This window comes from Homo sapiens, chromosome 10 (assembly GCF_000001405.40).
Source record: "Homo sapiens chromosome 10, GRCh38.p14 Primary Assembly".
NCBI lineage: Eukaryota > Metazoa > Chordata > Mammalia > Primates > Hominidae > Homo > Homo sapiens.
In genome coordinates, this window is record NC_000010.11 from 86,410,447 (window position 1) to 86,424,881 (window position 14,435).

A 14,435-nucleotide genomic window follows, 5' to 3' on the forward strand; every position below is an offset into this window, starting at 1 on the left:
GCTTGAAGCCGGGAGGCGAAGGTTGCAGTGAGGTGAGATAATGCCACTGCACTCCAGCCTGGGCAACAAGAGCAAAACTCCATTTCAAAAAAAAAAAAAAAATGGCTCACAGGATAAATAAGAAACCAGGTGACACAGTTGAGAGGAATGTATTTTGCTGAAGGAATGAAGATAAGTAGAACAGAAAAGCTGACTGCCTCATGAATTCATTTGTTTATTCCACAAACACTATTTGAACTTCGGCCACATGCAGACATCATGCCAACTTCTCCTCTAAGGATCAGGCCATCTGACTGATGACTCGGAAACAGAACTGGCTTTATCTTCCCCTTCATGTTGACTCAGTTTATCTCTGCTCCTGCCTTAGCCTCTCGCCCTTTCTTCTGTGGACCTTTTCCATCTCATGAGTTTAGCTGACTTGAATCTGACCATGGCCTGTGAATCTGTGAACCCTTCATTTTGGTTCTTCCTAATAAGTATCTGTCTCAGTCAGCTATAGCTGTGTAACAAAGTACACCCAAACTTGGTTGGTCAAAACAGCATTTGTTACTCATGATTCTGTGGAGTTTGGCAGAGCTCAGTGGGCATAGCTTATCCTTCTCCACATGGTGTCCTCGGGTGGTTCAACTAGGGCTGGAGGATCCAACACACCTCCCTCCCTGTGTGGGCCTTGAAATAGCTGTTATCTACCAATTCTCTCTGACTCTCTGCCCTCTTCTCAACAGCTCGTTAAGAATTGCCTGAACACATCCTCTCCTTTCCCATTGAGCTCTTGTAAAACTTTCAGATAGTGGCTACCACTGTCCCTATAACAAACATAAACAGGTACTAAAACCAGGATGCTGAGTTCCACACCAGCGTGAGGAGTCCTCTGTGTTTCTAAGAACCAGGCTTCAGGAAATGCACGGGGATTGTGTGCAGTCTAAGAGACTAAAGCTGGGCTAAAAATATTTTATTGTCATTGTTAAGAAAGAGAAAAAAAAACCCTATCTTGGGTAACCCCAGGTTAGATAAATAAATCAGTCGCTTCTCTTGACACTTTCCCACTCCACCCGGCTTCTTCCTGGATTTCCCATTCCGGCTAAATCTTCATAAATCCAAAGCCTCCGTGCAAACGGAGGTGGAGCAAAACAGAAATAAATGTCAAAGACTGCACAGACAGCATGCATCAGCCTCTGACCCAGCAGATTATTTCAGGAAACACCCACAGTGCTCAGACAGGAAATTCTGTGCACTTCAGAGCTGTGAGCTCACAGATGCAGGGAGCATTGCTGTTACAGTCCAGACTAGAAGAATTGAGGTAAAGCATGGACTGGGCCCTTATCTGCTAGCTGTGATCCTTGGGAACTTGTAGGCCACAGTTCCCACAGCTGTAAAAGAGGAGTGACAATGAATGAGACAGGGCACATAAACCACCTAGTAGGTATTCAGTAGACATTGGCTCCCACTTGGAGCATGGTGCAACCCAGCCCTGCAGAAAGTTGGCCCTGTCCATCCACTTCATCAGCTGTCATGAAACCAGGCCTGGCCGGGCATCGTGGCTCACACCTGTAATCCCAACACTTTGGGAGACCAAAGCAGGAGGATCACTTGAGCCCAGGAGTTCAAGATCAGCCTGGGCAACATAGTGAGACCCCATCTCTACAAAAAGTAAAATGTTAGTCAGGCGTGGTGGTGCATGCGTGTAATTTCAGCTACTCAGGAGGCTGAGGTAGGAGGATTGCTTGAGCCCAGGGATGTTGAGGCTGCAGTGAGCTATGATCACACCACTGCACCCCAGCCTGGGTGACAGAGCAAGACTCTGTCTTAAAAAAAAAAAAAAAAGGAAATCAGGCCTTTGTGGGCTGTCTGCACCTGGCACTGTTCCTTGTAAAGAGGTTGGTTGTTCTTTTTTTTCCCCATGCCAAGCTGTATACACCTGTGGCTCACCCTTAGTACATTATATCACCGTACTCATCATTTGACCAGATAGAAGAAGATTTGATTAAAATGCCATCATGTTAATTTGCTGTGTATGAGACACCTACATGCTCCGCTATAAACAATTCATACACTTCCAGGCAGTGTCCAGAGTAAACCTGTTGTTTCTTTACAAACTTCACACTGCCTTGAAAATTAGGTAAGAGTTTGTCTGTTCACACATTATGAACTCTTGATGCATAGACCTGGAAACCCAAAATTGAAACATAAACTCTTCTGTAAGTATCTAAAAATTGAAGACAGTCCAGGCACGGTGGCTCACAAACTGTAATCCCAGCACTTTGGGAGGCAGAGGCAGGCAGATCACTTGAGGTCTGGAGTTCGAGACCAGCCTGACCAACATGGAGAAACCCCGTCTCTACTAGAAATACAAAAATTAGCCAGGCATAGTTGTGGGCACCTGTAATCCCAGCTACTCTACTCAAGAGGCTGAAACATGAGAATTGCTTGAACCCGGGAAGCAGAGGCTGCAGTGAACCAAGATCACACCACTGCACTCCAGCCTGGGCGACAAAGCCAGACTCCGTCTCTAAATAAATAAATAAATAATTGAAGACTGCCAGGCACATTCTAAGTGCTCAGTAAATGTTCACAATTAAAATTAAAAACATTCCTCAGAACATCATCCGGGGCTGGAGAGGTGTGATCAGGCAGTCGTTGGAACAGTAACAGGTGCTGAAGTAAGATGGTTTGCTTTACTCCATTTTAGTTTCTCTTGTGTATGGGTTCTCTGCGTCACTCTTACAACCCTAAAAATAAATGCTATATTTAATATTAGTCCACTTTAACTATTTCTGTCTGGACATGGTGGATTGTGCAGTAATTCATGCTTACCATTTCAGAAACTGTTCAGTGATCCAAAGGTTAAATGCAGGATGTGGTTTCTGCAGACTCTGGCATATATACAGCGCATGTTCAGTGCAGGCGAGCTATTTTTATGAAAGCTATGCTTAAATTTTCTCCTTGGATGACAGTAACATAAAACAGAAGAAGTTAGAGTAGCAATATGTGCTTATGTAATATTTGGTTTGTCTTGTTTTATTTTCCATGGGGTGCTATGTAAGTACAGTACTGACAACTATAGTACTGAAACCCTGCAAATTTACTTTTTATTATTTCAGTTTAGTTACCAAAAATTATGTGATGCATCACATGACCAATCATGCAAAAATTCGTGCTTAAGTGCCTCAGAAACTTCTCCATGGTCTAAAGGTTCAACTCAGGATGTGGTTTCCACCCCAAAGCCAGTCCCAGCTGCCACTCACTTTATTTTTTTCTTTTTTTTTTTTAAGAGTTGGGGTCTCCGCCGGGTGCAGTGGCTCACACCTGTAATCCCAGCATTTTGGGAGGCCGAGGTGGGCGGATCACCCAAGGTCAGGAGTTTGAGCCCAGCCTGGCCAACATGGTGAAACCCTGTTTCTACTAAAAATACAAAAATTAGCCGGGCATGGTGACGTGTGCCTGTAATCCCAGCTACTCGGGAGGCTGAGGCAGGAGAATCGCTTGATCCCAGGAGGCGGAGGTTGCAGTGAGCCAAGATGGCGCCATTGCACTCCAGCCTGGGCATCGCAGCGAGACCCCGTCTCAAAAAAAAAAAAAAAAGGAGCTGGGGTCTCGTTCTGTCACCCAGGCTGGAGTGCAGTGGCACAGTCATGGCTCACTGCAACCTCAACCTCCTGGGCTCGAGCAGTCCTCCTTCCTCAGCCTCCAAAGAAGTTGGGACTACAGGATCATGCCACCATGCCTGATTAAATCTTTTTTAAATTATTTTTTGAAGAGACAGGGTCTTGCTATCCTACCCAGGTTTGTCTCAAACTCTTAGCCTCAAGTGCTCCTCCTGCCTCAGCCACCCTAGCCTCTGGGATTTTAGACACAAGCCACTGTGCCTGGCCCCTCACTTTCCTTTTATGGCTTGAGTTTTATCTCTATCGAAGTAATAAGTGTGCTTATCTTTAAAAATCAAACGTTTTACAGTGAAAATGCTTACAATTAAAAATAATGGTCCCCTAGCTCTGCAGTTCCCCATTGAGCTCTGTTCCTGGGAAGCACCCACTTCCAGCCCTGGCACCTGCTTTTTTTCTGCCAGTTGATTTAACTCCATATTTTTATTTTATTATTATCATTATTTTTATTTTATTTTATTTTATTTTTGAGTCGGAGTCTCGCTCTGTTGCCCAGGCTGGAGTGCATTGGTGTGATCTCAGCTTACTGCAACCTCTGCCTCTCTTCAAGCAATTCTCCTGCCTCAGCCACCTGAGTAGCTGGGATTACAGGCGCCCGCCACCACAGCTGGCTAATTTTTGTATTTTTAGTAGAGACGGGGTTTCACCATGTTGGTCAGGCTGCTCTCGAACTCCTGATCTTGTGATCCACCTGCCTTGGCCTCCCAAAGTGCTAGGATTACAGTCATGAGCCACCGCGCCCGGCCTTAACTCCATTTTTTTTTTTTCAAGTTGGAGTCTCGCTCTGTTGCCCAGGCTGGAGTGCAGTGGCACAATCTCGGCTCACTGCAAGCTCCACCTCCCGGGTTCACGCCATTCTCCTGCCTCAGCCTCCAGAGTAGCTGGGACTACAGGTGCCCGCCACCACGCCCGGCTAATTTTTTGTATTTTTAGTAGAGACGGGGTTTCACCGTGTTAGCCAGGATGGTCTCGATCTCCTGACCTCGTGATCCTCCTGCCTCGGCCTCCTAAAGTGCTGGAATTACAGGTGTGAGCCACCAGCCCGGCCAACTCCATATTTTTAAACAATATGCTTATACTGCTCTTTCTTGACTTTTCCATTGACTGTCTGCCCTAGAAGACTGGAATTTTCCTCTCCTGTGCTGCACACATATCTCCCCAATAAAGCTCTATCACAAGTTTCGGTGAGATCAATACTCAGTATTCAACATTCATGATTACAGCTGTGTAAATATTACCCAGTGAGCCATTTATACTATACTATGATTGCATTTATTTTCTCATGAAACTTTATTTCCTCTAGGTTAATAATTTGCTTATTTTTCTAAGTATTTATCTTCCCTTCATCACAAGGTGCCAATTGACTCAAGAATTGATTCCTAGAACACTCAAACCCGTGAGGTCCATTCTCTTAATATATTTTTCTTTACTATGTCTCTCCTGAAATTCTCCTGCTTCTAATGTCTCTCTTGGAACTTTAAGTGGTTTCATCCTTGCTATGAGGAATCAGAATTTATTTTAGCAATTGGTTGAGATAAAAATAAAAAGTTATTTTGAGATAGTTTCAGTAGGACACTGAGTATTCAAACATGAATAAAACCAACTTCCTGCCCTCAACAAACTTTATCTGAACAGGAAAAACCATGAAACAGAAAAATTCGGGAATGCGTACACAGAGGCTACAGGAGTGGCCACCCAGGAAGGACAGCATGGGGTCTCGGAACCCCCAGCTGCTGTGGGAATCAAGCAGACCTGGTTTCAAATTCTGATCCTGCCTGCATGTGACCTCAGGTGGCTAACCCAGACTCACGACACGGGATTTATTTCTCTGTAAAATGCAGATACCACCCACCCATCCTCCTAGGATGCTGGAGAAATTATGTCAGAAGAGTTACGTGAAAGCACTCAGCACACGCCAGACCCTTGACATGGTCATGCCCTCCCAATCTCAACAGTTGAGTCCAGGAAAAAACTCCTCAAATAAAACCCCAAAAGCCACATACCTTAGGATTTGTGCTGATTTTTCATTTCATATTGCAATTGTCCTCCCCAAAATCACCTTAAATTTTTTTTTAAGCACTTTCTTTCTGTTGGTATCAATAGCATTGTTACTTAGAAGGGGTCGGCAGAGGGTGCTGAATATTGAGTCATATCTGTTGCCTACTCTGTTGCCCAGGCTGTTGCCCTCACTCTGTTGCCCAGGCTGGAGTGCAGTGGCATGATCTCGGCTCACTGCAACCTCCGCCTCCCAGGTTCAAGCGATTCTCCCGCCTCAGCCTCCTGAGTAGCTGGGATTATAGGCGTGCACCACCATGCCCGCTAATTTTTGTATTTTAGTAGAGATGGGGTTTCACCATATTGGTTAGGCTGGTCTGGAACTCCTGACCTCAGGAACTCCAACCTCTGCCTCCCGGGTGATCCACCCACCTCAGTCTCCCAAAGTGCTGGGATTACAGGTGTGAGCCACCGCGCCCGGGCTTTTTAGTACATTCAAAGGCTTGTGACTAGGAAAGTAAAAAGCTCAGTCTCACTGGAAAGTGATAACTTCATTTCAGTACATCCCCATTTCAGAGCTCAACTCTCCAGTTTTGCAAATCAGAAATTCCTCGGGGTGGTTGTGAGAAAAACCCGCAGTAAAAATTCTGTTGTTTTCTATTCTCAGAGAAGTTTAGGTTTTCAATCAGGCGATCAGTTAGTGTTACTGGACAGCTAAAGGGATCATTTTCAAAGCACACCAATCTTCTTTACAGGTGGGCTTAGACTGTCTCACCTGCTGCTTCCTAAGTCTTGATTGTTAATCAGCGGACAATGGCTACATTCTCACAACATCTTTGCGCGGTTTGAGTTACTCCCCTGTTCCAGGTGTCTTTAAACACTTTAAATACCCTGAACAGACTAATTTGGATATTGACTGTTTTCACTATTAGCCACTCTTTTCTAAGATCATTTTATTATTTATGTATTTATTTAATTATTTTTGAAATGGAGTCTTGCTCTGTCACCCAGGCTGGAGTGCAGTGGCACAATCTCAGCTCATTGCAACCTCTGCCTCCTGGGTTCAAGCGATTCTCCTGCCTCAGCCTCCTGAGTAGCTGGGATTACAGGCACGTGCCACCATGCCCATCTACTTTTTTGTATTTTTAGTAGAGATGGGGTTCACCATGTTGGCCAGGCTGGTCTGGAACTCCTGACCTCAGGTGATCCGCCCACCTCAGCCTCCCAAAGTGCTGGGATTACAGGTGTGAGCCACCATGCCCAGCCATGTATTTACTTATTTTTGAGACAGTCTTGCTCTGTTGCCCATCCTGCAATGCAGTGGCACAATCTTGGCTCACTGCAGTCTCTACCTCCTGGGCTCAAGAGATCCTCACACCACAGCCCCTCAAGTAGCTGAGACTACAGGAGCACCACCATGCCTAGCTAATTTTTTTTAATTTTATTTTTAGTAGAGACAAGGTCTTGCTATGTTGCCCAGGCTGGTCTCGATCTCCTGAGTTCAAGCGATCCTCCTGCCTCAGCCTCCCAAAGTGCTGAGATTACAGGCATGAGCCACTGTGACTGGCTGAGGATTGTTTTAGAGAATCAAGACGTTCAGTAAACAGATCCAAGAACCATTCTTAATTTTGCTCATATTCCTAAAGAATGAAGGAGTGGGCTCATTTTAGCATTAACTCATTTGCATGATGCTTGTTGAAATATACATTACCTGTAAACCACACAGGAACTGTTAGCTATAGATAACATGGTTATTATATCCACTGCCTCTGGCAATAAAGAATACTAATCTGCTTCACAGAGGTCAGGTTTCCACTGAGCTATCAGGACTATTCTAACTAACCTAAGTGTGGATTTCTAGCTGCTCTTGAACGTAAGCAGGTCATCATTTAGATATGACTCAATATTCAGCACCCTCTGCTGACCCCTTCTAAATAACAATGCTAGTGATACCAACTTTTTGTCTGTTCATTTGTTTTCCTGCCTTTTTCAACTTATTTTTAATACACAGGAAATGAATAGGTATATTCTCATTTAAAAGAAGTCCAGGCTGGGTGTGGTGGCTCACACCTGTAATCCCAGCACTTTGGGAGGCCAAGGTGGGAGGATCACTTGAGCTCAGGAATTCAAGACCAGTCTGGGCAACAGAGTGAGACCCTGTCTCTACAAAAATAAAAAAAAATTAGCTGGGCGTAGTGGTGCATATGCCTGTAGTTCCAGGTGCATGCCTATACTTCCTATAGGTGGGAGAATCACCTGAGTCCAGGAGTTCTAGGCTGCAGTGAGCTATGATAGCACCACTGCACTCCAGCCTGGGCAACACAGTGAGACCCTGTCTCCACAAAAAAAAAAGAAGAAAAGAAGAAAAAAAGAAAGAAGAAAAAGAAGAAAGAAAGAAAGAGAGAGAGAAAGAAAGGAGGGAAGGACGGAGGGGAGGAAGGAAAGAAGGAAGGAAGAAAGAAAGAAAGAGAAATAAAGGAGGAAGAGAGAGAAGGGGGGGGAGAGAGAAATTAAGAAATCCAAATCAATACAGAATAAACACAATTTGCCTTGTATCTCCCTTCATCTCATCCCCCAGAAATAGTAACTATGAGTCTGATATTTAACCTTTCAGAATTTTTCCATCTATGCACTCACAAGCATGTATAGAAATTATATACATATACTTTAACTGATAGAACACACTGTACATATGACTATGCCACTTAAATTTCCCTCTTAAAAGTATGACTTTCTCTTTCCTTGTCAGCACAAGAACGAGCTCTTTCTTTTTACTGCTGTGTGATATTCCATGCAAAGAAGGACCACACTTTGTTCAGCAACAATCTCCTTACTCAGGGGCATTCAAGGAGTTTTCATTTTTCACTATTTAGATGTTGCAGAGAACATATTCATATTTATTCTTTGTGTACAATGCAAGTGTTTTCTCCAATGGATTACAAGAAATAAAATTTCTGGGTCAAAAGATACACATCTTTAAAATTTCAATAGATACCCTCAAGTTGACCTCTAAAAAGGCTGTCACACTGAGGGAGGATAAATAGGTGGAGTACAAAACATTTTTAGGGCAGTGAAAGTACTCTGCATGCCACTAACATGGTGGATAGATGTCATTGTACATTTGTTCAAACCCACAGAGCGTAGAAGGCCATGAGTGAGCCTGCTGTAAACTTGGACTCTGAGTGACAATGATGTGTCATGTTTACTGATTGTAGCAAATGCACGACACTGGTGCAGGATGTTGATCATGGGGGAGGCTGTGCATGTTGCAGGCACAGGGATACCTGGGAAATCTCTGCACCTTCCACTCAATTTTGCTGTAAAACTAAAACTACTCTAAAAAATAAAGTCTTTTTTTTTTTTTTTTTTTTGAATCTGAGTCTTGCCCTGTTGCCCAGGCTGGAGTACAATGGCTCGAACTCAGCTCACTGCAACCTTCACCTCCCTGGTTCAAGCAATTCTCCTGCCTCAGCTTCCTGAGTAGCTGGGATTACAGGTGTGAGCCAGCATGCCCGGCTAATTTTTGTATTTTTAGTAGAGACGGGGTTTCACCATGTTGGCCAGGCTGGTCTTGAACTCGTGACCTCGTGATCCACCCACCTCGGCCTCCCAAAGTGCTGGGATTACAGGCATGAGCCACCATGCCCGGCATAAAGTCTATTTTTTAAAAAGCTGTAACAATTTACACTCACACACAGTTTATGAATGTGCACCTGTGGCTCAACATCCTTACAAAGGAGATGGTATCAATCTTTTAAGATGTGTGATGTATTTAAAAACACTATAGGTCATTATTTGTAAAAATATTGAAGGGGGCTGGGTATGGTGGCTCACGCCTGTAATCCCAGCACTTTGGGAGACCGGGTGGGTGGATCACTTGACTCCAGGAGTTCATGAGCAGCCTGGGCAACATAGCAAACCCTGTTTCTACAAAACACACCAAAAAATTAGCTGGGGTGGTGGCACATGTCTGTAGTTCTAACTGCTTGGGAGGCTGAGATGAGAGGATTGCTTGAGCCTGGGGAGGTCAAGGCTGCAATGAGCCGTGATCACGACTCTGCACTCCAGCCTGAGAGAGTGAGACCCTGTCTCATTTAAAAAAATTACATTGACGGGGTTCCTACTATGTGTCAGGCCCTGTTCTGGGCACTGGAATTTAGCAGTAATGAAAGACATAAAGCTCCTGCCTTCATGAAGCTTACATGCTAGCAGATACATAATAAAAATATGCTATCTGGCAGTGAGAAGAGGCGGTGAGAGGTAGTCAGATTCTGGGCATAATTTGAAATGGAAGTGAGAGGGTAATAAATGAATTATATAAAGGGAGGTGGTGTCAAAATTGTTCCATGTTTGGTGCCTAGGAGCTCAATGAAGGGAACTGAGCTATGAAAGTCTCATGGGTTACATACAGATTGTTTGGGAGGGTCTCAGAGTATAGTTTCGACAGGAGTTAGGAGATGCCTGTAAGACATCCAAGGGGAAAGGGTGGATGGGCGCCTGGATGTGTACAGTTAGGAAAATGTTAGGATTGAAGCTACAAATTTGGGAGTCATCAACACATAGGTGGTGTTCCAAGTCATGAGTCTTGGTGGTCTTATGGGTTATTCCAAGCCATTAAGACCACCAAGAAGTGAGGGAGGGAAAAGAAGAGGCCACAGGCTGAGATCAGGGGTGTGCAGAAGCTTTTTTGCACACAGATGATGGGCTGTTTTCCTAATATAAAGGCAACTTGGTTGTGAGGTGTTCACTTTTTTTTTTCTTTTTTGAGACAGAGTCTCGCTCCGTCAACCAGGCTGGAGTGCAGTCGCGTGATCTCAGCTCACTGCAACCTCCACCTCTCAGATTTAAGCAATTCTCCTGCCTCAGCCTCCCAAGTAGCTGGGATCACAGGTACGTGCCACCACACCCGGCTAATTTTTGTATTTTTAGTAGAGACAGGGTTTCACCAGGCTGATCTCAAACTCCTGACCTCAGGTCATCTACCTGCCTTGGCTTCCCAAAGTGCTGGGATTACAGGTGTGAGCCACCGCGCCCAGCCACATTTTTATATATTGCTGTAATTTACTGGCTAACTTTTTATTAGCATTTCACGTCCAAGCCATGAAAGATTGGACTACAGTACAATCTTTCTTTCTTACAATGTCCACGTCAGGGTTTGGTGTCAGGGACAAATGGGTCTCATAAAATGGGTTGGAAAAGTATTTCCTCTTTTTCTATTTCCTTAAAGAGTTTTGTATAACACCGTTGTTACCTTTTTCTTAAAATGTTGGAAAACTCACCAGTAAAAGTAAATGGGCCAAGTGTTTTCTTTATAGGAAGGTGCATTCATCTGTTTTGCATTGCTATAAAGCAGTACCTGAGGGTGAGGATCTCACTCTTTCACCTAGGCTGGAGTGCAGTGGCTCAATCCGGGCTCACTGCACTTTCCACCTCCTGGGTTGAACTGATCCTCCCCCATCAGCCTCTCAAGTAGCTGGGACTACAGTTGCATGCCACCATACCCGACTAATTTTGTATATTTCATAGAGATGCGGTTTCACCATGTTGCCCAGGATGATCTCGAACTCCTGGGATAAAGTGATCCACCCTCCTCGGCCTCCCAAAAATACTGATATTAGAGGTGTGAGCCACCACGCTCAGCCTAGTTCTAATTTAAAAAAAAAAAAAAAAAAAATTATGGCTGGCTGTGGTGGCTCATGCCTGTAATCCCAGCACTTTGGGAGGCTGAAGTGGGCAGATCACAAGGTCACAAGTTCAAGACCAGCCTGGCCAACATGGTAAAACTTTGTCTCTACTAAAACTACAAAAATCAGCTGGGCATGGTGGCATGTACCCGTAATCCCAGCTACTCAGAAGGCTGAGGCAGGAGAATCACTTGAACCCAGGAGGCAGAGGTTACAGTGAGCTGAGATCAAGCCATTGCACTCCAGCCTGGGCCACAGAGCAAGACTCCATCTCAAAAAAAAAAAAAAAATAAGACTTAATTTTTTAGAGTAGTTTTAGTTTTACAGGAAAATTGAGTGGAAGGTGCAGAGATTTCCTAGGTACCTTCGTGCCCGCAGCATGAACAGCCTCCCCCATGATTAACATCCAGCACCAGCAAGTCTTTGTATGACAATGTGCTTTCGTTTGTCTTCAGTAAATACCTAGCAGTGAAATGTATGGGTGATATACAAAGTGTGTGTTTAAGAAACTGACAAACAGGCCAGGGCAGTGGCTCACACCTGTAATCTCAACACTTTAGGAGGCCAAGGCAGGTGGATTGCTTGAGCTCAGGAGTTCGAAAGCAGCCTGGACAAAATGGTGAAATCCTGTCCCTACAAAAAATACAAAAAATTAACCAGACGTCATGATGTGTGCCTGTAGTCCCAGCTACTTGAGAGGCTGAGGTGGGAGGATCGCTTGAGCCTGGGAGGTTGAGGCTGCAGTGAGCCAAGATCATGTCACTGTACTCCAGCCTGGGTTGCAGAGCAAGACCCTTTCTCCAAAAAAAAAAAAAAAAAAAAAAAGAAAAGAAAAAGAAAGAAGAAAGCAGAAAAGAAAGAAAGAAAAAAAAAGAAACTGGCAAAGAGTTTTCTGAAGTGGTTCTTCCACCTCACATTCCCCACCAGCAGAGTACAAAATTCCAATAAATCCATGCATTTACAATCAACTCATTTTCAACAAAGGTGCCAGGAACATACATTGGAGAAAGGACAGTCTTTTCAACAAATGGTGCCTGGTAAACCAGATATCCATATGCACAAGAACAAAACTAGACCCCTATGTCTCGCCATATACAAAAATTAAATCAAAATCGATTAATGATTTAAATGTAAGACCTGAAACTATAAAACTACTAGGAAAAGACATTGAGGAAATGCTTCAGGACATTGGTCTGGACAAAGATTTCTTGAGTAACACCTCAAAATCACGGCAATCAAAGCAAAAATGGGTAAATTGGATCAAGTGAAGCTAAAACACTTCTGCACAGCAAAGGAAACAATCAACAAAGGGGAGAGACAACCTACAGAATAACAGAAAATATTTGCAAACTATTCAACTGACAAGGGACTAAAATAACCAGAATACATAAGGAATCTAAACAACCCAATAGAAAAAATACAAAGAATCAGGTTTTTAAATGGGAGTACACCTGATTACACATTTTTCAAAAGAAGACATACAAATGGTCATCAGGTATATGAAAAAATGCCCCCCATTTCTATTAAAAAAAAATTTAGGTCAGGTGCAGTAGCTCATGCTTGTAATCCCAGCACTTTGGGAGGCTGAGGCAGGAGGATCGCTTGAGCCCAGGAGTACAAGACCAGCCTGGGCAACATGGTGAAATCCTGTCTCTATTAAAAAAAAAAAAAAAAGAAAAAAGAAAAAAGAAAAAGAAAAAAATGCTCAACATCATCGGAGAAACACAAATCAAAACCACAATGAGAGATCATCTCACCCCAGTTTAAATGGCTATTATCAAAAAGCCAAAACTGACGATGCCGGCAAGCCTGTCTCGGAGAACTGGTACACTGCTGGTGGGAATGTAAACTCGTACAGCCACTATGGAAAACAGGTTCCTCGAAAAACTAAATACAGAAGTGCAATATGATCCAGGAGTCCTGAAGTCATCCTCACAGGGTTAAGAAGAATTCTGGACAGAAATGGAGTTATAATCAGGCTGCACTTTGGTCCACATCCTTGTAACTGGAAGTCCCTGTAGCACCGTTGTCTGACTATTTGCATCCCCATTGTTCCTGCAGAGACAGAACTGATGTTAAAACCATGAGGCTATTGTTTAAGAATTGCTCAAGATGTTTTTCAGATCCCCAATTCCACCAAAACACCAGTTCAAAGACCCCCACAGAGGAATAGAATCAACATGAGAATCGTTTCTTCATCCTATCCTATGACTTCACCCTTCCCTCCTGGACCAATCAATGATCTCCACACTTCAGCTCACTCCGGAACCCTTAAATACCTTAGCCCAAACTCCTCAGAGAAATGCATTTGAACTTTCTTTCCATCTCCTCGTTCGGCAACCCTATAATTAAACCTCTTTATCTGCTGCAACCCAGAGAATATTAACATTCTCAGGGTATTAACTTGCTGGGTACATCAGGTAACAGACCTGTTAACGGTTTCAATCCCACTGTTGGGTATCTACCCAAAAGAAAGGAAATCATCATACTGGAGATATATCTGCACTCTCATGTTTATTGCAGCACTGTTCACAATAGCCAAGATATGGAATCAACAATTCCACTGTGTCTACCAACGGATAAATGGATAAAGAAAGGTGGTGGCCAGGCACAGTGGCTCACGCCCGTAATCCCAGCACTTTTCAGGGCCAAGGCGAGCGGATCACTTGAGATCAGGAGTTCAAGACCAGCCTGGCCAACACGGAGAAACCTCATCTCTACTAAAAATACAAAAATTAGCCTGGTGTGGTGGCACGCACCTGTAATCCCAGCTACTGAGGAGGCTGAGGCAGGAGACTCGCTTGGACCGGGGAGGCAGAGGTTGCAGTGAGCTGAGATCATGCCACTGCACTCAGCCTGGGTGACAGAGTGAGACTCCATCTCAAAAAAAAAAAAAAGAAAAAAGAAAAAAAGAAAAGAAAAAGAAAATGTGGTATAGATACACAGTGGAATATTATTCAGCCATAGAAAAGAATAATATTGCCAGGAACGGTGGTTCACACCTGTAATCCCAATACTTTGGGAGGGTGAGGCAGGAGGATAGCTTGAGCCTGGGAGGTCAAGACTGCAGTGAGCTGTGATCACATCACTGAAT

At 44.0% G+C, this 14,435-nt stretch overlaps 3 annotated features.

Moving 5' to 3' along the window:
* Positions 2,280-2,629: an enhancer, noted in NCBI's record as "active region_3688". NCBI's record gives its function as "activates an Ori minimal core promoter by ATAC-STARR-seq in GM12878 lymphoblastoid cells {active_cell/tissue: GM12878}" and the evidence as "EXISTENCE:reporter gene assay evidence [ECO:0000049][PMID:35858748]".
* Positions 3,630-3,679: an enhancer, noted in NCBI's record as "active region_3689". NCBI's record gives its function as "activates an Ori minimal core promoter by ATAC-STARR-seq in GM12878 lymphoblastoid cells {active_cell/tissue: GM12878}" and the evidence as "EXISTENCE:reporter gene assay evidence [ECO:0000049][PMID:35858748]".
* Positions 13,055-13,809: an enhancer, noted in NCBI's record as "OCT4-NANOG-H3K27ac hESC enhancer chr10:88183258-88184012 (GRCh37/hg19 assembly coordinates)". NCBI's record gives its function as "activates a minimal SCP1, AML or CMV promoter by ChIP-STARR-seq in naive H9 embryonic stem cells {active_cell/tissue: H9 hESC(naive)}" and the evidence as "EXISTENCE:reporter gene assay evidence [ECO:0000049][PMID:30033119]".